The 25,717-nt window shown below is 35.2% G+C and overlaps 1 protein-coding gene across 9 annotated transcripts in view, besides 1 other annotated feature; it reads right to left on the reverse strand.

Annotated features, from left to right (window-relative positions):
• Nucleotides 1-25,717, reverse strand: part of LRBA (LPS responsive beige-like anchor protein) — a 751,293-nt gene that overhangs the window by 364,004 nt on the left and 361,572 nt on the right. The gene's annotated exons all lie outside the window — the stretch shown is intronic.
• Nucleotides 790-1,011: a silencer, noted in NCBI's record as "fragment chr4:151550380-151550601 (GRCh37/hg19 assembly coordinates)". NCBI's record gives its function as "represses an EF-1alpha promoter that drives an FKBP-Casp9 reporter gene in an ReSE screen in K562 erythroleukemia cells {active_cell/tissue: K562}" and the evidence as "EXISTENCE:reporter gene assay evidence [ECO:0000049][PMID:32094911]".

The following is a 25,717-nucleotide window of genomic DNA, read 5'->3' on the forward strand; positions in this document are numbered from 1 at the left end:
TGTAAAATTAACTTTCACGAATAATGAGTTTTAAACCTCAGATAATGTATATGTTATACCAACGATATTACTGAGTTCATTCCTGGCTAGAGATTATGTAAATGATACCATATGACCTTTATCATTACAACAGGACATGCAAAACACATATTATTTCATACATCATTTTAAAGCAAGTCAGTTTCTAAAGGAAAAATCATCATTTATAATCTGCATGGTGAAGTGTTAAAGTTTTGAAAGAAAGAAGTATCTCTGAACCATGAGTCCTTCTTTTAACCTGTTACTTCCATTGAACATAAGGCAATAAAACCTACTAGTTCAAAAAGATGTACTTGATTTCTGTATTTCTTTGTTGAGCTACTGTTAATGTCATTTCAAAAACTCATATCATGTTGGCTAATCAACACTAAGTTTTAAATGGATAACAAGTATTAATATACACTTCTAAGTCATTCCTCTCAAAATTTTTGCTGTTGTTTTTGAGAAAGGGTCTCTGTCACCCAAGCTTGACTGTAGTGGCTTGATGATAGCTCAGTGTAGCCTCAAACTCTTGGGCTCAAATGATCCTCCTGCCTCATCCCCCAGGCAACTGGGACTACAGCTCAATGTCACCACAGCTGTTTTGTTTTTGTTTTTGTTCTTTTGTAGAGACCAGATCTCACTATATTGCCCAGGCTGGTCTCAAACTTCTGGTCTCAAGCAATCCTCCTGCCTCAGCCTCACTACGTGCTGAGATTACAGTTGTGGTCCACTGCATCCAGCCTCAAAATGTCAATGTAATGGGTTAAGGAAGTAAAGGAAAACATTCCAATACTGTTTCTTTAGAACTATATTCTGCCAATCTTAAAATACTAAAAATGTAAGTATAAACTACAACGGCCCACCAATTATAAAATAGCTCCTTTTTTTAAAGGTATAGGCCAGGAACAGTGGCTCATGCCTGTAATCCCAGCACTCTGGGAGGCCAAAGCAGGTGGATCACTTGAGGTCAGGAGTTCGAGACCAGCCTGGCCAACATGGTGAAACCCCACCTCTACTAAAAATACAAAAATTAGCAGGGCATGGTGGCACATGCCTGTAGTCCCAGCTACTTGGGAGGCTGAGGCAGGAAGATCACTTGAACCCAGGAGGCGAAGGTTGCAGTGAGCCAAGGTCACACTACTGTACTACAGCCTGGGTGGTGACAGAGCAAGACCCTGTGTAAACAAAATAAAACAATAAAAAGGTATATAAAGAAATACATATTGCAAGCCAGGCATGGTGGCTCACGCCTGTAATCCCAGCACTTTGGGAGGCCGAGCTGCATGGATTGCCTGAAGTCAGGAGTTCCAGACCAGCCTGGCCAACATGATGAAACTCCATCTCTACTAAAAATACAAAAAATTAGCTACGCATGGTGGTGGGCACCTGTAATCCCAGCTACTTGTGAGGCTGAGGCAAGAGAATCACTTGAACCCTGGAGGCGGAGGTTGCAGTAGCCAAGGCCACGACATTGCACTCCAGCCAGGGCAACAAGAGCAAAACTCAGTATCAAAAAACAACAACAACAACAAAAACATATTGCAAACCCAGCTCCCTTCTGTTGTAATTCCACCCCCATCATGTTGACACAGTTATCCACAGAATCACCCAAGCACAAAGCCTGTATATCATCTTTGAACCCTCCCTCTCCTTAAGCTTCTTACAATGAACTTTCAATTGTTTTTTCCTAAATAATTTTCAATCCATGCCCACTACCACAGTTCTGCCATATCTCATGCCTAGTCTACTGTTATTATAACACCTATGATTTCACTATTGGCAGTGTTTTTCTTCTTCAAATCTATAATCAAAAAGAACTACCAGAATGATCTATCCTAAAAAGATGTGTTGACATCAATAGTTTACTCCACAAATTTCAATAGCACTACATCCCTTACAGCAGCGATGCCCAAAGGGGATACATAACATAATTCATCTGGATGTTGGAAGATAATTGCAGAGAAAAAAGTCAGAAATTGAGCTTTATTAATATTTAATATATAGTTTAATTCTGGCATCCTTATTCAGTCTGAATATCAGTAATCATGTCATATGTGATATGCAATTTTCTCATATTAACACATACTGTAGTTTATGTCTACTTAAACAGGTTTACAGATTACACTGTTTTAAACAAATACAGTATTTAGAATACTTTGCAATAAGATAAAAAGTGACCAGAAATTACCTAATAATGGTTGAATAGTATGATAATACTCAATTATCTTAAAAAGCCAATTATTCCAAATTTGCTAAACTTTTCTGTGGCAGTGCACTGCAACAAGCTCTGAAACAGCTATTTGAAAATAAACACATAAAATATATACCTTTAACATAAAGGTAGCATTTTAACTCTAAGGTAACTACCTTAGAAAAACATACTATGGAAAGAGATGTTTAGAAATATTTCCATCATTATGTGATTTTTGTTGCCTAAAACTATCTTAACCACCTATAAAAACTCTTAAATTTGTATTTTAATTAAAACAAATTAGAAACAGTGTCATAACCTAGTGTGTCAATGGGTTTTGTACAAACATAATGTCTGTAAAAACATTAAAATATTAATACAAATATTTGAAGAGAACCAAGAGTTTTGTAAAGTTAGATAGTCCTTAAAATATTTTCTTTGGCTTTATTTTATCCTTTAATTTCTCCTAGAAATAGTGGCAATATTCAACACTTGCTTTAAAGATTTCAGAGTTTAGACTATTCTTGATCTTTAAAAAAAAAAAAGTAAATGCAGAGAGGATAATATTATCTATCTTATAAGGTAATTTAACAAGATATATGGACTTAGTAAAGGGATCTCTAACTAGTAACATTAAGTTGCTGCTGCTACTACTACCATTCCTAACATTTTTATTAGTATGTAGTACACCAAAAAAGGGACTTGTTTCTCGGAATGAGAGTATAAAACATTAGGAGTAATTTATGAGAAAATTGGAGTGGAAGGCATCCAATTTAGGAACATGTTAAGTTATATAGGAAAAATTGATTTATCATTTTGAAGCAAACCACAAGACCCTCTGCATGAATGGCATATATGAAAATGTTTTAAGATGAGAATAAATTGTCTTAAATTTCGATATGTATTACATAATCACCTTCCAAAAATGTACCAGCAATATACTCTTCCATATGAGAATGTGTATATCCCAAATGTCATTAACACTGAGTTAATACTGGCCTTATTAATCTTTACCAAACTTACAGGTGAGGGATATGAAAGAGAGGAGACTGTTGAATATGAATCCAAGGTTTTAAGTTAGATTCCAATACTGATGCCATTAATAAAAACAGAAAACACCGGAAGGAGGAGAGACTTGCAAACAGAGATGAATTTAGTTGGGACATGTTGAGTTTGAGGGGCCAGAAGTACATCCACATGGAAAAATCAAAAAGGTTCTGAAAACAGAGATGTGGAACTAAGAAGAGAGGTAAAGATCAGAGTGTTGATTTGAGATTCCTGTATAGAAGTGATGGTTGGGCTGGGCGTGGTGGCTCAAGCCTATAATCCCAGCACTTTGGGAGGCCAAGGCGGGTAGATCATTTGAGGTCGGGAGTGTGAAACCAGCCTGGCCAACATGTTGAAACCCCTTCTCTACTAAAAATACAAAAATTAGCCAGGCATGGTGGCAGGCACCTGTAATCCCAGCTACTTGGGAGGCTGAGGCAGGAGAATTGCTTGAGCCCAGGAGGCAGAGGTTGCAGTGAGCAGAGATCATGCCATTGCACTCCAGCCTGGGAGACAGAGTGAGACTCTGTCTCAAGGAAAAAAAAAAAAAAAAGTGATGGCTGAGGTGCTAGCAGAGATTAGGATCACAAAAGAACTAATTTAGAAAAAGAAAAATACCAGCAACAGAATTTTTCTGGGACAACTCTAAATAGCAGAATTAGGCAAAAGCAAGCTCCAAGGACACAATGCTCATCTTGCTAATCCCTGTTACAGTGATGCCTGGCAAAGAGCCTTGCTCAGAGTAGGTATTCAATAAAAACTTGTTGCATGCACTATTTAATAATTAATAAGAGACAGAGTCATCAGAACAAAAGAGAACTAGAAGCAAACAAGTCAAATAAGATTTTTTTAAAAATTAGACACCATTAGGCTTGGTGCTCCCAAAAACATTATTCAACCACAATGAACTACTTTCCATCCCATGGGCTTATCCTAGCTCTCCTCCTATCTCTCTCTCATGTGTACTCTCTCATGTTGCCCCTGTCCTGTGGCATCTTCCCCACCAACCATGTTTCACCCTATCTGCCTGCTACCAATTATCATCCAACAACTAAGTCTCAGCTTAGATGTCAGCTCCTACAGGTAATTTTGATCTCAGCAATTTATACTTGCTGCATCATAGCAGTTATTCAACTACTTTATCATTGCCTGTTTATATTTTTCCCCCTCCAAGTCTATAAGCTCTGTAGTTTTTATACCTAATCATCTTAGCCACTAAGTTAGAGTTTCTTTCTAGGCCATTCCTTTTCTCACCCTATATTCTCTCATCCTATGATCTCATCCAAACTTTTGGCTATAATTACCCACATGTATGTGAACTCCAAAATTTATATACCCAGCGAAAATCTCCTTTTGAGTTCTAGAGCCATATATCTAAATGTTTACTTGCTATATAGTTTAGCAGTTAAGAACATGAAATCAAACACAGTATTTTTAAATTCTGGGTTTGCCAGTTATTAGCTATGTTATTAGCTGTGTGAACAAGACATTTAACATCTCTGTACTTCAACTGCCTTACCTATAAAATGAGAATAACAATAAAAAGAGAACCTAATTCATAAGGTTGTTGGGCAGATTATATAAAACAATATTTAAAGTGCTTACAATAGTGCTTTGCATATAAGAAATACTTCTTGAGTGCTAAATATTGTAATAATGTTAATTCAGTGAAGGCAGTGATTTTCATTTCTTTTGTTCACTGTCTAATCCCCAAATCTTTAGACAATGGCTGACACACTACTGAATAGTTGTTGAATAAATGAATGAATAAATCCATCTCAATTTCAACACAGTCAAAACCAAATTAATGACCTTCCCCACAATTAGTCCCCTTCAATGTGAAAGGCATCGTAGTTCATCCAGTTGTGCAAGTCTACACAATCTTTGTTCTACACACTGCAGTCAGGGGGTTCTCAGAGCATAACACTAATCATGTTCCCCATCCTTTCCATCATAAAATCTTTATGGCTCCTTATTCCTCTTTAGAAAAGCACCCAATATGGCCATAAGGCCTCGTGTAATCTGGCTACTATCAATATCTCCACAGTACACACATCCACTCACTATCCACGTTCCAGCTATATAACCTTTCTTCTGGTCCTTGTACTCAGGCTTCTTGTTTAAATACCTCTGCTGGTCGGATGCGGTGGCTCACACCTGTAATCCCAGCACTTTGGGAGGCCGAGGTGGGTGGATCACCTGAGGTCAGGAGTTCGAGACTAGCCTGGCCAACATAGTGAAACCCCATCTCTACTAAAAATACAAAAATTAGTTGGGCGTGGTGGCGGGTGCCTGTAATTCCAGTTACTCGGATGGCTGAGCCAGGAAAATCACCTGAAACCAGGAGGCAGAGGTTGCAGTGAACCAAGATCGCACCATTGCACTCCAGCCTGGGTGACAAGAGCAAAACTCCATCTCTGAATGGAGTTTTCCCGTCTTCATCTAGCTACCTCCTACTAACTCTTCAAATTCCAATTGAATTGTTACTTCAAAGATAACTTACCAGAGCTCTTTAACTAGATATCAATTGAAGGCATTCATCATTCAGTTTTGTCATTCTTCATAGCATTTTCACAACAGTAAATTTGTATCTGTTTTATAATATTAATAGCTGTCTCTCCTTCTGGATAATGAAATCTATGTAAACTGGGAACATGTCCACTTCTGTTTATTATGGGAGCTCTGAGGCATAGCATAGTGACTGGCACATAACAGGTGAATATTCACTGACTATTCAATCAATAAGATAAAAGCCAATTAAATTTTTTTATCTTATTCAATGAACAAGATAAAATTCAAGTAACCATAGGATTTAAGGAAGCAGTATGAATAGGGATGAAGAAGGTAACTATAAATTCAATTCATGACGTCCATTTGAACAGTAATAAGCTATCCCACACAATACTATTGTGAAGGATCTGACACTACCTGTTCATATATTTCTTCTTTGCATTCTTTTTTCAGATTCCAGAATATAGTCTCACCTGTTTTTCTCCCTCATTTTCCTTTCTGAATCTTGGCTTCTGTTCTGCAGTGGACAGGCATTTGCAAACATACCCCTAAAGGTGGAGGAAGCTAACTGACCAAACAAAGAGGCTGATAAATACAGTTTCTCAGAAAGAAACATTTAATAGGGACTTAAAACAGAAGCCGTAGTCTTAAGCAGTCATAAGACTCTAGAGGGTGGATCCCTGCACCACTGCCCCCTAGACCCAGGGCGTATATACCATAGAGAAAGAATGTGTAGGACAATTGAAGTTGACCTCTCAGGGAAAGGCAAGCATGCTATGTGAATCTGCCTAAGCGGGGGATTTATGATCAAGGTTGTTTGGACCTGGGGCAGGATTTATGGTAACAATAGATAAAAGTAGAAATCTTAGAGGCATTTCCAGAACAGAGGTTAATCAGAAGTCAACATGGCAGATTAGCATCCGAGACGGAGTTTCTTTAGCCTCCACAGCTTCTCTACTTTTCCTTTCAAATTCTGCTCCTAGATTCTACCATAAGGCTGTTTTTCTTACAAACCAGGAATATCAGCATGACTCCTGCAACTAAAACCATCACCTATGTGACAATGGTACCAAATCTCAACTCTTTACTCCAGATTTTTCTCATAAGACTGCGTTTTCAAACTGTTTAATAACATTTCCATTTTGCTTACCCAAATATATGTTAATGTGTCCCAATATTAAAAACAGTATCCTATTTCTAACTTGTTCCTTCTTCTATATTTCCATACCACTATCATTATTCTCTCCACCATTTTCCCTCTCTGCCTCTAACACATAACACCCCCAACCATCTCTCTTCTTCCTACCAGGGTTTGTCTTTCATCTCCACAGGTTTTAAGGCTTGTTGTATATGAACTTGTTAAATTCTTATGGAGAGGGCAAACCTTATTTCTTTTTTTATTTTGAAAATGTTTCAAATTTGTAGAAAAGTGGAAAATGGTAACATGATGCCCCATTGACAACAGATACTTTCTATAAACAAGGACTTTGTTCTACATAATAATAATATAACTGAAAGTCAGGAAACTAAAACTGATACATTATTACCTTCCGATTTTAAGCACCACTCAAATTTTACTAATTACCCCAGTAATCCTTATAGCAAGATGACACAGCTGAGAATCATGTCTGGCATTGAGTTATTATGTCTCTTTATTCTCTAACAATCTGGCAGAATAGTTCTATAGTCTTTCCTGAAATTTTAAGACACTGACATTTAGATGATTACAGGTCAATTATTTTGTAGAATGTCCCTCAATTTGGGTTTAACTCATATTTCTTCTACATTTCTTCTACATGATTAGACTCAGACTAGGCACTCTGGGCATATCACAGAGTGATACTATGATCTTCTTAATAGATATAGCCTAAAAGGAAGCACATGGTTTCAGTTTCTCTAATTACTAATGATGTCCATTTTGATCACTTGATGACATGGTACCTACCAAGCTTTTTTTTTTTTTTTTTTTTACGTGAATTACTCTTTCTCCCTTTGTAATTAATGAATATTTTTTGAGGAGGTACTTTGGAACTATGCAAATTTTCTGATCTTCATCAAACTTTCCATTTGTTCATTTATTTATATTAGTATGATCTTCTATTTTATTCAACGGATTATAATTTATTGCTATCTATTAGATAATATTATCTATTTTGACGTTTGACTGTTCACTGATTTGGCCAGTGGGATTCTTTTCAAGCTGATTCTTTTTCCTTCTTACATGTCTCCATCATTCTTTGAGCACTTCTTTACATTCTAGCACAAAAAGGTGCTATGAGCTCATCTTATAGTTTCCCTGCCACAGTCCTGGAAGTAGCCATTGCTCCACAGAGCCCTGGTTTCAATGGAGAAGATCAAGGCTTTAGGTGCATTCATTGCTACCAGGATGTCACTATTCCCAGGCCCCCTCAGTGGACAAAGCTAGGAAATATATCCAGCTGGGCACGATGGCTCATGCCCGTAATCCCAGTACTTTATTGCCCAGCTGGAGTGCAGTGACACAATCACGATTCACTGCAGCCTCAGCCTCCTAGGCTCAAGCGATCCTTCTGCCTCAGCCTCCCAAGTAATTGGCACCACAGACATGCACTACTACACCTGGCTAATTTTTAAATTTTGTATAAAGATGAAGTATTACTTTTGTTGCTCAGGCTGGTCTCAAACTTCTGAATTCAAGCAATCCTCCACCTCTGCCTCCCAAAATGCTGGGATTACAGGCGTGAACTATCACACCTGGCTTAAGTTTATTTTTTGATGCCAATAATATGTCTAGAAGGGACTAGACTAAAACATTAACAGTGGCTTGGAAAGGATGGTGTGATTAAAGGTAATTTTTTGTTCTTCTTTTCATCTTACGTGTATTTATATTTTCTACAGTAAAAATATATTATTCTCATAATTATATAATAAATACCTGTAGGAAGCATATGGATCTCTGACATTAGTAATGAAGTTGAATTATTCCTTCTAAAAAAAAAATCTAAGCTTTCCACATCGTGTTACAGTGGTACATTGGCAAGTATCAGTTTGCCACAAAAAACTGGGGTTTATTTTGGGATTATCTGTTCTGTTCCATTGATCTATACAGCTATCCTATACTAATAGCATGGTGTCTTAATTACTGTATCTTTAAGTTTTGGAATTAGGTAGTGTATATACTGAATTTTGTTGTGCTTTTTCAACATTGTTTCGGCTGTTGTGACAGACAGCTCCAACATAGCCCGTAAATGCTCCCTGCCTCCTAGTGTTCATGGTCTTGACAATCCCTCCTTGAGTAATTTGCTTCTAACCAATGAAATATGGCAACATCAAGGGGATGTCACTCCAAAAATTAGGTTACAAATGACTGTGATGTCCATTTTGCTAGATGACTCCTCTCTCTTGATGGCTTTGATGAAGCAAGTAAGCCACCATACTGGAGAAGTCCCTGTGGCAAAGAACTCAGGGCCTTAGTCCAAGAGCCCTCAAAGGATTAAATTCTGACAACTTCATAAGTGAACTTGAAAGTGGATACTTCCCAGTTGAGCCTTCAGATGAGAACCCAGCCTGCGGACACCTTGACTAAAGCCATATCAGAGATGGTGGGCCAGAGGAAACAGCTAAATAGTGCCTGGATTCTTGACCCATTGCACTATGAAATAATAAGTGCATGACGTGTTAAGCTGTTAAGCTTTAGAGTGATTTGTAACAAAGCAACAGATTACTAATGCAGCTCTTCTGGGACCTTTGTATTTCCATTTATCTTTTGGGTTCCGACTACCAATTTCTATTAAAAAAATTCTGAAACTTACATAGGGGATTATATTGAATCTATAGATCAGTTTGGGGCATACTAGCATCCTACATTATACTGCATAATATTCTATTTGTTTACAATTTCTTTAATTATTTTTTTTTTTTGCAACCTCTGCCTCCTGGGTTCAAGCAATTCTCCTGCCTCAGCCTCCCGAAAAGCTGGGATTACAGGCAAGCACCGCTATGCCTGGCTAATGTTATCTTTAGTAGAGACAGGTTTTCACCATGTTGGCCAGGCTGGTCTTGAACTCCTGACCTCGTGATCCACCCGCCTCAGCCTACCAAAGCGCTGGGATTACAGGCGTAAGCCACCACGCCCGGCCAACTTCTTTAATTATTATCAATTTCTCTTTAATTTCTCTCAGTAAAGCTTTATAGTTTTCAGTGTACCAACATTATACTTCCTGGTATTTTATTCTTTTTGTTGGCTTAAAGATTTCTCACCTATATTTATGAGGGACCTCATTTACTTTTAACAATAAAATGCTATTTTCAAGAACACAAAACTGGGGTTCAGAGAATACTTAAGAACACATAAGGACATGAACAGACACTTCTCAAAAGAAGACATTTATGCAGCCAAAAAACACATGAAAAAATGCTCATCATCACTGGCCATCAGAGAAATGCAAATCAAAACCACAATGAGATACCATCTCACACCAGTTAGAATGGTGATCATTAAAAAGTCAGGAAACAACAGGTGCTGGAGAGGATGTGGAGAAATAGGAACACTTTTACACTGTTGGTGGGACTGTAAACTAGTTCAACCATTGTGGAAGTCAGTGTGGCGATTCCTCAGGGATCTAGAACTAGAAATACCATTTGACCCAGCCATCCCATTACTGGGTATATACCCAAAGGACTATAAATCATGCTGCTATAAAGACACATGCACACGTATGTTTATTGCGGCATTATTCACAATAGCAAAGACTTGGAACCAACCCAAATGTCCAACAATGATAGACTGGATTAAGAAAATGTGGCACATATACACCATGGAATACTATGCAGCCATAAAAAATGATGAGTTCATGTCCTTTGTAGGGACATGGATGAAATTGGAAATCATCATTCTCAGTAAACTATCGCAAGAACAAAAAACCAAACACTGCATATTCTCACTCATAGGTGGGAATTGAACGATGAGATCACACGGACACAGGAAGGGGAATATCACACTCTGGGGACTGTGGTGGGGTAGGGGAAGGGGGGAGGGGGGAGGGATAGCATTGGGAGATAAACCTAATGCTAGATGACGAGTTAGTGGGTGCAGTGCACCAGCATGGCACATGTATACATATGTAACTAACCTGCACAATGTGCACATGTACCCTAAAACTTAAAGTATAATAAAAAAAAAAAAGAAAAAAAAAAACAAAGAAAAAAAAGAACACATAAGCAAAACGTGGGAATAATGAGATCTAAATTAATCTATCTAAAAATAATGCACTTTCTACCCCACCCGTGGTACTCAACAGATTCAGAACTGTTCCCTAGAGTGAATAATAGAAATCTGCAAGGAAAGTTTTGGTTGTCACAAATGACTGAGTGCTACAATGATTTAGTGGGCAGAAGGAGCAAAAAAAAAAAAAAAAAAAATTCTAGACATTCCACAAGAAGAATAGTTCAATAATAATAATGGTCCTAGATCCTACATTACTTTAGAATGTTCTACTGTATATCAGTGAAAGTGACAAACTAGAAGATAATCTGAGCCTATGCCCCAAATATATATATATATATATATATATATATATATATATATATATATATGTGTGTGTGTATATATATATATATGTGTGTGTGTGTGTATATATATATATATATATATATATATATATATATATATATATATATATATATTTAGATGGAGTTTCGCTCTTGCTGCCCAGGCTGGAGTGTAATGGTATGATCTCTGCTCACTGCAACCTCCCCCTCCCGGGTTCAAGCGATTCTTTTGCCTCAGCCTCCCAAGTAGCTGGGATTACAGGTGCCTGCCACCATGCCCAACTAATTTTTTGTATTTTTAGTAGAGATGGGATTTCACTATGTTAGCCAGGCTGGTCTTGAACTCCTGACCTAGGCAATCGACCCGCCTTGGCCTCCCAAAATGCTGGGAATACAGGCATGAGCCACCACGCCCGGCCCCAATTTATTTTTAATTTCAAAAAATGCAATCATTGTGTAAAGTAAGGTAAAAATGAATGTTGTCTGCTTAGTACTACACCAGTATCTATTCACCACTTAGAAAAATCACATTATAGACAATCACACATCCCTTGTAGCAGGACAAATCATACATCATACCTCTATCAGTCTGATTTGTACCTGTCACATTCACAGTGACCTATATATAAATACAAGCATCCAATTATGTCTTTTAGCATAGTTATGTTCGTACTTATGGAACAATGAAATGCATACTACATATATTTTTAAATATTTTATTTCTCTTGTTATGGTATAGAGCACTGTTGATTAATATTATTTATCTAGAAAAGGTCTATTTACTATTCAAAAATAAAACTCATAGATAAGGAATAATTGCAAACTACCTGTGATATAAAGAGCATGTTAAATTTCAGAGGGTGAAGAACTATAGCATTACATTATGCTACCTCCTAAATATATCTCCTGCTCACCATAATTTCTGGCACTGCCATAGTTAATACTCCTTTTATCTCTGGTCTAGTGTCTTTTGACAGCCTCCTATCTAGTCTCCATCACTTGAACTTCCCATCCAATATAATTTACTTATTGTCGAAATGTTACTGCTTTTCCTTTAAAAAAAATTATTATCCAGGATATAAAATAGGATCAAGATACTTAAGTTCCTACTATCCTACAGAAAAATTCCAAATTCTCCACCATGGCATTTAGGATCGCTTATGACCTGCTTTTATCTGTTTCTAGATTTGTCTACAACCACTCTCTATCACATATTATATGTCTAAACCATGCTTTCTGGACTTTCTCAAAATTTTCATATTTTCTCATGGCAATGCCTTGCATCACCTACTCCCTATTCTACCATGACTTCCCATCATCATTCCTGTCCCCATCTTTTGTCCGTCTGGAATTCACATACTGTGTGACATCCTACTCTAGACCCTCCTCAAATCTATGTCCTATTTCACAGAGATCCAAAAGCTTACATTCAGACTTTTTACCATACACATTTCGCAGTAATATAATTAATTATATGCTTAACATTCCCATGAATCCTCAATATCCTCAAAATGTAATAAGAAATTTTTATATTCCCTAACAATTTTTATCATTGGTTTTTCATATTTGTTGATTCAATGAATATTTAACTAATTTTCCACTCTCTTCATATTCTAACTTTCTTTTCTGAAATTCTAGACATTAATTACATATATCTAAATACATAATGGCATCAAATTCTAATTTACTCCACAAAAACACAGGAATCACAACTCTTCTAAATATGTCATGATGGAAATAATGTAGTCAGTCTTGACATTCATTTCTTTATTAAGCAGAATCTCAGCATCTTTCACACAGTTAAAATAGGAGAATAAATTTGCAAATAAGGTTTCATTTGCCTATTTTCTTTTTTTTCTTTGCAGCAAAAAGATTAAAAACATTTTAGCCCTTCAATGTTTAAGTTCAAGTGGAACTATCTAAACATCACATCAATCAATACCTTTATATGTTCTTCTTTATATGCACAAGGGCAAGAATTAGTTTAGGGGTATAGGAGTTGGTTACAGTCATTATGCTCTAATGTGGCAAACATTAGTGTCAATTTAAGTAAACTCTAAAGGGTTATGAGGTCAAAATGCAAGACTGCATAATTTATCAGATCAAGCAAATCACTTTGAAAGTACAGAAATAAGTGAAGCATGAGGCTATTACTGCCTCTCATGAATAAAGGTTAATACCAATGTTTATTTATTACACACTGGATGGTATTTGCTATCTAAACTTTATTTATTAAAATAAGTATTTTGCTACACTGTCATATTTTAAACTACTGAGTCAAATTTAATTTACAGCACTGTCTTATACTAATACAATTAATACAGTATTCTAAGTTTTAAACAAAAAATTGAAATTGCTTTGGACATTTTGATTAGTAAAATATGTTACCTGTAAAATATGAAATCTCACTTTTGCATCAAGACACACCAATGAGCAATTCAAAAGCACAAGAATACATTCATATGTAAATTCTGCATGTATTTCAAAGTTGTGGTTTATTATTTGTTCTTGTTGTTTGGTATTTCTACATAGTATTTTCTTATGCACAAAAAATAGAAAGTTGCGGGAGAATGGTATAACATACTAGGCCATCAAAAAAAGAAAGATAAAGATAAGCTTTTAAAATTAGTTGTTACTCTTTCTTTTATGAAAGAAAAGAATGGTATTTTGGTTTTCCATAAATTAATACTAAAATATTCATATTCCATTTTCTAAGGTAAACAGTAACATGTGAAATGATGTAATAGACATAATAGCTGTGAAGAGTACAGGAAAATATATTAATAGGAAAGAAATGTTACTTTTCCAGAACAAATCTTAAATGAAATGGTGTAATTAGATGAAGGGTTATGTGAAACATGGCAATATACACAAGCAAAATCACAATGCAGATCAATTCTGTTACTTTTACATTTTACTCTGCATATAATATATTGAAAAATATTATTTAATCTAAATTCAATAAGATATCAAGATTTCCTCAAAATCAATGTTTTGTAGTCAAATCAACTCAAATAAAACTTCACAGTTATAAGACAGATAATTAAACTGTATTGAAGTAGATGTTTTATATAGCAAATGTTGTTTATTATGGTTACAAACACACACATAAGGAGGCAAAAGAATTACTCTCAAAGAAAAAATGTTCAAATTCTAAAGCATTGGAATAGAAAAATGTAATGTTATATTCGCATCATTATTGAAATGTAGCTTTAACATGACACTTAAAAAAATTAATATTCTAGTGATTTGTGCAGGACCTGTATCTTTCATTTAACCCACATAAAAATTTTGTACATAGACTCTCTTGAAGGGAAATTTAAAGTTCCCCCTATTTTATCCATTTCAACCAACATAAAGATTTCAAATAACAACTTCAACGCACAAGTAGTCCAATTCCAGGCTGGGCATATCTAAATGAAGAAAAAAATTGATCTGTCATGAATAACCATTCCATTTTAGGAAAATGCAGACCATTAGAGTTCATTTATTTATTCCACAAATATGTACTGAATATCTACCATATGCCAAGCACTAAGGAGACACCAGTAAACAGAAGAAATTAGCAATCAAAGAAAAAATTAATTTATAATAAAATGTCATAAAAAGTATTATGAAAAAATAACTTTACCATGTTAATGCAGGCTAAGAGATAGTGATGGAGGCACATAGATGATAAGAAAAGGCTGACATAGGAAAGTAGGTGGAAGAAGAATGGGCAAAGATGACATGTGAGTAAATAACCTGTATGAAGAGGATATGTAAGCTATATTGACATTTGGACAAAAATGCTGCATGCATGAAGAACATGTGCAGAAGTTCTAATACAGGAGCATGGTATGTTTACTCAAGTAATAGCAAGCAGTCCAGTGTTGTCAGAGCAAAATGATCTAGTGCTCATCTAAGATCAGATCATCCAGGGCTTTGTACATTTCAAAAAGATAGTTTAGCTGTAATATAGGATAAAGAGATAAAAGTGGCATTAGGAAAGTAAGAATCAGCAAACTGTTGCTGCATAGCCTATGAGCTAAGAATGGATTGTAAATTCATAAATAATTGGAAAAAAAGATATTTCATGATGTGAAAATTATATAAAATTCATATCTAAGCTTCCATGAATAAATTTTTATTGGAACAGAGCCATACTCATTTGTCTAGGTACTATCTGCTGGTTTTGCACTACAAAAGCAGAGTACGTGGTGCTCTCATCACTTAGCACTGATGCTCAGCACATTTCAGATCATACTAATGTAGCTATAGATGACCGTGTTTCAAATGTCACACATATAGCCATACCACATTTTATTTTTATTTTCTTATTACCAGTGTGTACCCATGGTATTAAAACATAAAAAAGAGAAACGTAGACTTTAAATAACATGTTTTTAAAGGCATAGTGGAGTCTGAATTATTTTGTTTTAGAATTAAATGTTAAAGCATTTTTGTTTAGTATGCAGTAACACGATAGCTAGTGATTTTAAAATATAATACACATCAATATTACCAAACAAAGCACTCATTATAATATTGCTAATGCATAGGAATGCAGCAGTGAAAAACTTAGAAAATTTAAAACAAATTATCTCATCAAAACAGAATCTCTTCAGAAAAATTAAAAATGAAAATAAGGCTGCAATTAAAGCAAGCTTCTGAGTGATTCTTTTGTTAGTCAAGCAAAAAAAGTCATTTACAGATGGTAAGTTAATTAAACTGAGTTTCATTTGACAGCCAAAGAACTGTATCCAGAGAAAACAAAATTGTTTAAGAATATTATAGCCTTTCAGTGAAAACAGTTGCTTAAGGAGTTGAGGACATTGAAGCAAAATCAATAGACAATTAAAAATAAATAAATAAAGCAAATGATTCCAAATGGTTTTCCTTGGCTCTTGATGAGATCACAGATGTTACCTACATAATGTTCCATTGTTGTTTATTCAAGGAGTAAATGACTATTTTGAAGTGATTGAAAAACGAGCCTCTGAATAATCTGCATGGAATAACTATACGGATGATTTTTTCAAAGTTGAGAAAACAAAAATTTAGTACCATCTGAAGTGGAATCTGCTAGGATGTCTTATAACAAATGGTGTTAAAAGTATGTATGGGGGAGAAAATTGAACAACTTACAAAGTTTGTGAAAATATACGGTATTTAAAGCATAAGCTTAGTCACTGTATCACTCAGTACTCTGTATTACTCAGGTACCCTGCAAAAAATATTGGAATTTATCATGTTTTATCGAACCAGGAGTGTCATGGTGAACTTCATTCACTTTTTTTTCATGGTCTTAACCAATGTCATTTCCATGCATTTTTCTCAGAAATACAAGTGGAATATACTAACTTGCTCTTCCACACAGCAATTCAAAAAAAAGTTTTTTTTTCTTGAGATCCTGTCTCAAGAAAAAAAAAAATCTTAACAGTGGTAAGGTTTTATTATGATTTTCCGCTAAGGGCATAGACTGATTTTTTTTTTTTTCTGAGAAAAAAATAACTACTATTATCACACACTAAATGGTTTTAGAAATTAGCTTTTACTGAAGACATAATAATGTTTCTTAATAAATTCCATCTAAATTACAAGGCAAAACAGCCCATATATGGGAAATTTACACTGCAGTAAAGTCATTTAGATGACAACACTGTTTGAATCACAAGTAATATGAAGTTACTTTATATACTTTTCTGTGCTATTAAAAGTTAAAAAGAAGTGAGATTGTCATTGTCATACAAATTTGCAGCTAATACATTTTCCAGCTCAAACTTCAATCCCAGAAGTATTTTTCAGATACTGATGCAAGGGCAAAGGAAATTCCCATATTTCAAAATCCATTTAAATGTGGTACTGCGGAGCTTCTACTCAAATATCAATTGCAACTAATTAACCTATAATGTAACGGTATGCTAAAAGGCAAAATCAAGAGAAAAATCTAACAATTATATAAATGCCTTCCAAGAGATAAACATGCTCAATTAACATCCCATGTCCATAGATGGACATTAATAATTGACAATATTTATCTGTGTGAAAACATATTTTAAAAGATGAAATCCATAAAATATTATAGATCATATTAACAGGTGAATATTTGCCATCTATTTTGATGACAGGCAACAGTAACTATGAACCCCAATTAAGTAAAATGTTACCCGCCCCCCTCCCAAGAAAAAGAAATTCTTCTCATTAGAAAACCCATTACAGAAAATTGTACTCAATAGATATATTTTAAATTTTATCAATAAAAATATATTAAAATTTGCTTTCTGTCTTGTTACACAGGTATTTATATAATATCCTTTATCTTGCCTTTTGACCCAAAAATCTAAAATATTTACTATCTGGCCCATTATAGAAAAAGTTTTACAATCTCTGATATAAGAAAATAATGATTTTTCTCTAGACCAGGCAAAGCAGATGATGGGAAATGTCCAGATTCTGGCTATATTTTTATGGTAGAACCAATAAAATTTCCTGACATATTGTGGGGTATATAAGAAAGAGTGAAGACAAAGATGACTTCAGGGTTTTAGCATGAGCAACGAGAAGGATAAATAACAGTTATTGCCATGAACTGAAACTGGAAAGGCTATGGATGAATAGGCTGGAGAGTGGTTCAGTATTGACATGTTAAGTTTAATAAATCTACCAAACAGAAGTGGTTTAGGCCAATTAGATACAGAAATCTGGAATTCAGGAGAGGTTATCTTAGCATAAGATACAAATTTGGGAGTCACTGGCCAATAGGCGGTTTTTGAAACGTTGGAAATGAATGAGATCACAAGGGATACTTGGTAAATAAATAAATGTCCTGAGAACTGAGTATCAGGGCACTAAAACATTCACCATTTGGGAAGGTAAGGTTGATCAGGCGAAGTCAACAGGGTGTGGAACAATGTCTAATCAGGTAGGACATTATGCTATCTTGAAGCAAGATAACCAAAGTGTTAGCAGAAGGAGAAAATGATCAACTGTGTCATATGTCAATAGATAAGCATACTCACTATAGGTTGCACATACCAAATTCAAAAATCTGGAATTTGAAATGCTAAAAAATCCAAAATTTTTGAGCACAGACATAACATGCAAAAGAAATGCTCATTGGAGCATTTCGGACTTTTGGATTAGGAATGTTTGAGCGGTAAGTATAATACAAATATTCCAAAATATGAAAAAAATATGAAATCTGAAACACTTCTGGTTCCAAGCATTTCAGAAAAGAGATATTCAGTGTGTATGTGTTTATATAAAGCATAGACAGTAGTGATTAACAGAACGAAGAACATGGTCCTGAAGCACCAGAAATGTTTCTCCTTTAATCTACTAATCAGTAAAACTAATATTTTAGTAAAAATCAGGATTTTAGTAGTGGTGCTCCTGTTCATATTTTTCCATCACATATAATAAGGACAGTTCTGGAAACCTTGTCAAATGCCTTGCAGAATATGTCAATATGTGTATATCAAGAATTAAATGTTCATATTTTTTAACTTAGTCATTCTATTTCTGGGACTATAGCCTGAAAAAAAAATAAGCTAAAGTAGGAAAATGCTTTATGACTAAAGATAAAAACCTTTTTCCAGATTATATCTGTAAAAAGTAAAATGATTACTTTTTCTTTTTTTTTTTTTTTTTTTTTTTGAGACAGGGTCTCATGCTGTTGCCTAGACTAGAGTGTGCAAGGCATAATTATTGCTCACTGTAACCTCAACCTCCTGGGCTCAAATAATCCTCCTACCTCAGCCTCTGTAGTAGCAGGGACCACAGGTGCATACCAACACACCTAGTAGCAGGGACCACAGGTGCATACCAACATACCCAGCTAATTTTTTTAAATTATGTGTTGTAGAGACAGGGTCTCCCTATGTTGCCCAGGCTGGTCTTGAACTCCTGGGCTCAAGCAATTTTCCCACCTCCTTAAATGCTGGGATTACAGGCATGAGCCACCACACTCAGCTCTTACTTTATGCTTTACACTGAACAACTCAAAGTTCCTTAAAGATGTGATGCTGAATTGTTTTCCTGGCACCACACTCTCAGCCTAACTAAAAAGTTAGTCATTACTTTCAAAGACCCCTCCATAATCGAGATATTTATCTACATCTATTATTGTGGTTTATCATATTATATCAGACATATTATTAATACGTCTTTCTCATCTATTGTAAGTATCCTTCCTGAGAGCAGGGCCCTGTGCCTAGCAGAGTGTGAGGTTCAATAAATGTTTACTATATTCAATTATCCAGTGAGTAACTTGTAATTCAATGTTCTGAGAATAGCAGGTATTTTTGCTTTGTTTAGGACATAAGGCAAATGTAGAGAAGTAATAGAAAATAAAGAGATACCCAAGCAGCATCAACATTTATGAGCTAGGAGAAAGAAGGAGGCAGTGAGGACATCAGAAGAGAAAGGAACACAAGTAGCAAAAAAAAAAAAAAAAAAACTAGAAAAGAGCGAGATGTGCCAGAAACCAGTGGAACAAAATAACTTGACAAGGAAGTGGTCTACACAAACAAATATCATAAATAAACAAAAATTGTAATACAGTGGTTTTGACAAAGAAGAGCTCACAAGACCTCTGCCAGAGCAGTTTCTGGCAGACAGCAAGAGGCTGACGGATGAACAGGTTGAGGCCGCAGAAAGTTCAAGATCTAAGAAACCTGACTGAAGGAGAAAAAAAGAGAGACTATGCAGCAGACTACTGTTATTTAGTGGTTGTACAGGAACTCTACTTAAATATCACAGGATATTTAACTACCTGGATTCCAACAATAAAAGTCTGCAAGCTTTCCAGTCATTGTGACAATCAAAAACATGCCCCCCCACCCCACATTTCTAAATTACCCCAGAAAGGATAGAGTACTGCCTCTGATTGAGAACCCTTAAATGCCAACTCATGCTAAAACAGGAGTCTCTTTCCCATGAGATTGTTTTTATGGTTTAAGATGAAGCTTATTAGCATTTTAGAAAACGTTGGCAATACAGTTACAGGGGACAGTAAGTTTGGGGACAATGCCAAGTAGTTGAGGGAGCTGAAACAGAGCCACGAGGCCTCTATTTTTTCAGAGATGAGTTCTGCTGAGAGTATCCATCACACTATAGTTTCAAGTACAACTTCCTACTTTCCTCCACATAATCAAATTTCTTAAAAGAGATCTTCTCTCTTACTCCTCTTTAGTAATCACTCACTCATTCCCTAAACCTTTATAATCTGGCCCCCACTTTCTCCATGCTACCAAAACAGTTCTATGATAACCAGTACCTTCTTGGTTCCAAATCTAAGGCCCTTTTCTTAGACAATTTTGCTTCTGATCACCTTATAGCATTGGTCACTGCTCCTTCTTAAGACCACTTCTTCTCCCACCACTGTCCTAGTTTGGGCACTTGTTATCTCTTAAACTATAAAATACCTCTGGCCTCTGCCTTCCCTTCAGTTTCTCCTAACATTTACCCATTTTACAAATGACAAGATCTTCCTGAAACATAGTTCTTAAACTGTTCCTGGCTCAGTAATTTTAAAATGGTTGAGAGAACAGACCAAATATCTTGGCCCCAATATTTAAGATCCTTGACAATCAGGTCCCTGCCTATCCTTCTCATTTTATTTCTCACCAATCTGGTTTACATACCACTCGTTCTAGATGAGCAATTAGAACTGCTGAGTGTTCTCTGTACATGCTCTTCTATCTGCTTTCTACGCTTTCACTTATCTTCCTTCAACCTGAAGTAACGCTTTTGCATCGCATGGTCATATATCCAGTTCTTCTTCACACTTTGATCTATAACTCCTATGTCAAGGATTCCCTGACCTCATAGCTACAAGCAATAGCCCTACCCTTCCTAAACTTCCAAAGTACTTTATTTGTACCTTTTTTATGTCACCTTTAAACCTGCATTATACATTTCATATAAACATCCTGCCTCTCCAATAAAGTTCACTAGGAACTATTACTTACTAAGCATTAATATCAGGTACTTACATATATCACACTGTATCCTCTCAATATAATTGAGTTACCCCAATTTAATAAATATAAAAAACAGAGGAATAGGAAATCTGTATAAACTAGCAAATACTCAATACATATTTTTTAATGAATAAATTATTATTCCAAGATGAAGTATCATTCAAAATGTTTACAAATATGCGGGTGTGTTTCACTTTAAGTGAACCAAAGGTAGAGCTCCAAGAATAAAAAATATTTAAGAAAAGAGCCAATAATAGATAAGAGGTTGCGTTCAAATCTAATATTAACAGTTACTACTTAACTTGAGCATATATGATTTTTCAGGCACACACTTTCTATATGCTAATTTATTTTATTCTCATAACAATCCTTTAGAATAGATATTGTTTTCACTGGCCAATACTTGGTGAGGTTAAGTGACTCGTTCAAAGTTGCAAAGCCAGGATACACATAAAGCCAGCCTTTCTGGCTTTAAATTCTTTGCTCTAGAGTAGTTAGTGAGAAGGCCCAAACAGCTTAAGCTTGAAAGAAATACAAATTTGGGCAAGTGCTTCTTTTTGCTTTATTAATATTAACATGTGGACATCTACAAAACGTAATAAGGCATTTAAAAACTGAGAAAATTTTCTACTTTTCCCAATTTCTATAAAATGTAATATGTTATTTAATAACCAAGAAAACATTCTATTTTTTCCTAATATCTCTAAGCAGACATTAAAACTTGTTATTTGGAATGAATATTTGTTTCCAAATGAACAATGAAAGTAGTATATAATAAGTAACAAAGCACCAAATAGAGTAAGGAATCTCAAAACTCAAAACTGAAAAGCATTGTAAACATCTTCTTATTTTAAAAAACACTCACAGAGTCAGCAAAAGGATACAACAAAATGTATAAATTGTACCAACCCACTCATGCTAGGACTTTCCTATAAAAGTTTCTGGTCAGATAGTAAACTGTTAATATTTGAATTGAAGTTTATGTTAAAATGCTATAAAAAATAAAATTTATGTTGGTAAAACTGAAATTAACTGCCATGAATGTCAGTACTACTTACCATGATGTTTTACTTCATTAGACAAAAAGACCAAAAAAAAAAGTCTACTTCTATTTACAATAAATAAAACTAATCCATATTATAATCCTTCCACATGAATCATTAGAACTTGGGGAGAGAACTAAAGAGGAGAAACCATCATGTCTATTATTACTGTGACTAAATGGGATTAACTAATCCTCATGAGGTAAAGTTATGAATTAAGTGGTGCTCAGAACACTAAGAAAATTTGTGGGGAGAGAATGCAAATAGCTCCCTAATTATCTACAGCCTATTAACAAGCAAACCTTATTACTTGCAATTAAAATCCTCTTAAATTTTATGGCAAAAGTTCATTGAAACGTTGAAAATTATATGCTAATTATTATACTGTAAAGCACATGTTTAGTGTATACTTTTACTATGGGCTCAATAAATAATAAAATATCAAATTCAAGGTGATACAGTAACTAAATATTTTACTAGATGGAAAACACCTTGGTATGAAGCCAGTATGGGCTCCTGTTACAATTTCACAGCACTATAGCACCAGAATATCCCCAATAACAACTAAGTTCTATGTGCACGGTGACACGGCTATCCTGTTAACCACTGAATGGAACCCCAACACCATCACAGTACCTGGCATAGATAAGTACTTAAGTATTAATTGAAGAAATAATGTTGACGGATGAAAATATATATTTGGTGATAATATCATCTACTTTCAGGTTCTGAATCTTTAAGCGCTACCACAGAGTTCATTCATTCATTGGTTTCTGTACCAATTCCCACACAATAAATCTATAATATTTATGAAATTATTTATGTCTAAAAGCTCCCATGGCAACCTAGACCAAGTTTGTCTTGTTCCTAACTGTATCAGAGCACCCAGCACAAATAAAGCCATCAATAAATATTTGTGAAATAAATGAATGAATAAATACAAGAAAAAAAAAGGATGTTACTACAGTTTGCAACTGCCTGGGACACAATATTCTTCAGTAGGCAATGTATTATGTTCTAAGAACAATAAGCCCATGCTACAAATGGTGTGAGTCATGAAACAGTGCCCACAGATGGGTCTTTTAACTGAGGACTCCCCCAGCTCCCACCTGATTGATGATTGATTGATTGATTTAGAGACAGGGTTTGCTCTGTTGCCCAAGCTAGAGTGCACTGGTGCCTTGATCTCCTGGGCTCAAGTGATTCTCCCACTTCAGCCTCCGAAGTAGCTGGAACCACAGGTGCATACTACCACACTCAGATAATTTTTGTATTTTTTGTAGAGATGGGGTTTTGCCATGTTGCCCAAGCTGGTCGCAAACTCAAGCAATCCAGCTGACTCGGCCTCCCAAAGTGCTGAGATTACAGGTGTGAGCCACTACGCGGGGCACCAATATCATTTTCACACCTATACAAGTTAGGGGAAAATACCTTAATACATAAAGGAAACAACCAATATTCAGTTTCCCTCAATGTTTCTCTCTCTCCCTCTCCTCTTCCCCTTTCCCCCACCTCTTAACAGCTAGTTTGTTCAAATCAGGATCCAAGGTCCATAAAATGTGCCTGTTGAGGTATTTCATAAGCCTTATCATATACATTCCTCTTTTATTTTTATATTTTTGACATCTATTTGTTGCAGAAACTAAGCTGTTTCTGCATGCATCCAGCTTTTTTGCATTCTGAATTTTTCTAATTATGCTCTTGTTCTTGTAACATGTTCCCCCTTTCCTTTTGTTTCCCATAAACTGGTTATTAGATTTAAAACAGCAATTTCTATTAGAAATACAATGCAAATCACATATACATTTTAAAGTTTTCTAACAGTCACATAAAAAAGGAAAGAAACAGATAAAATTAATTCTAATAATATATTTTTAACAATATATTCAAAATATCATTTCAGCACACAATCAATATAAAAATAAAATATTTAGATTCTTTCATCATTTGAATATTAATCCAAATCCAGTGAGCATTTTACAACTTATGGCACATCTCAGTTGAGACTAACCACATTTGAAGTGCTCAACAGCCACATGTGGCAACCATACTAGACTGCACAGTAATCGAGACTTGATCAAATTGAGGTTAGACACCTAACGCCTGCTTGTTTCCTTTTTGGTGATGTTAATATTGGTCTGTGAATCTAGGTACTGTCAGCTTTGTCTATTCATTAGGAAAATCCATATCAGCTTCTTTCCTAATGATTTTAGTAGCTATTAATGATTATGCCCAGATATCAATTTTTTTTTGCTATTCTAATTCTATTATTCCTTCTGCATTTATTAGCTGCAATTCTTCAATTAAAAAGAACTGGCCAGGCATGGTGGCTCACAGCTGTAATTCCAGCACTTTGGGAGGACAAGGCAGGAGGATCGCTTGAGGCCAGGAATTCAAGACCAGCCTCGGCAACATAGCGAGAACCTGTCTCTACAAAAAATAAACTTTCTCTCATCAATGTGGTTATATAAGTTACAGTACATATAGAAAAATGAGATAAACATATGATTCTCAAAATATTAGGTTTTTGACATTAAAACCTGCCTCCCCAGAATACTCTGAAGGTAATCCATAAAGATTTTGTAATGAGTATCATTATGAACACATGGATTTAAACATAATTTGCCATGCTTTAATCTATTATACTTTCATTCTTTTACTTTTAGACTGTCTCATCTTCTGGATAGTAAAAGCTACTTCATTTTACCTCCTGCAACCCTTTTTACCTCACCCCAGGACCCTCTGGCCTCTGACATAGCAGGTTGGTCCAGGCTGACCTTGCCCAATCAAGCCAATTATTTTCACTGGCAAATGATATTTAGAGACAACAATCTAGGTGTGAGAGGGCCCGCTGCTACCAGATTGTTTGTCATTTCTAGGCCATTCCAGTAGGCAAAGCAAGAAAAAATACTGTTTAACTTTAAAAAATGAGTTTTACAGATATTTCCAACAGAAATTTAAGATAAAAGGGGTTTTCGCTTCTCGATTTTTAATACATGTTCCCATTTTCTCTTGCTCTGAAAAATCTTAGTTTCCAATACCATTAACATAATTACTTATTTGCTTTACACTATAGGGTCATAACTGTATTTCAGCATGTATCAGGAATTCATTCCGTATTTTTTCATAAATACATTGAAAGACTGTCATTTTGGGAAAATTATTAGAATTAAGTTCAGAGTAACAATAGCAATACTACTACTAAGAATAATCAATAATACTCCTTCTCTGGAGAGAAAGAAGGCCCCACTGGGAATCTTCAGATTACTGAGTTCTAAAGTTACCTGAAATAATTTGCCTCTATGTAGTATATAATAGCAAATTAATTTATTTCCTTTGGCTTCCAATTCAGCCATTGATTTAAAAATTTTTAATTCTATTTTATAATTATATATTAAAAGTAAAATCTA

Source organism: Homo sapiens, chromosome 4 (genome assembly GCF_000001405.40).
Source record: "Homo sapiens chromosome 4, GRCh38.p14 Primary Assembly".
In the NCBI taxonomy this organism is placed as follows: domain Eukaryota; kingdom Metazoa; phylum Chordata; class Mammalia; order Primates; family Hominidae; genus Homo; species Homo sapiens.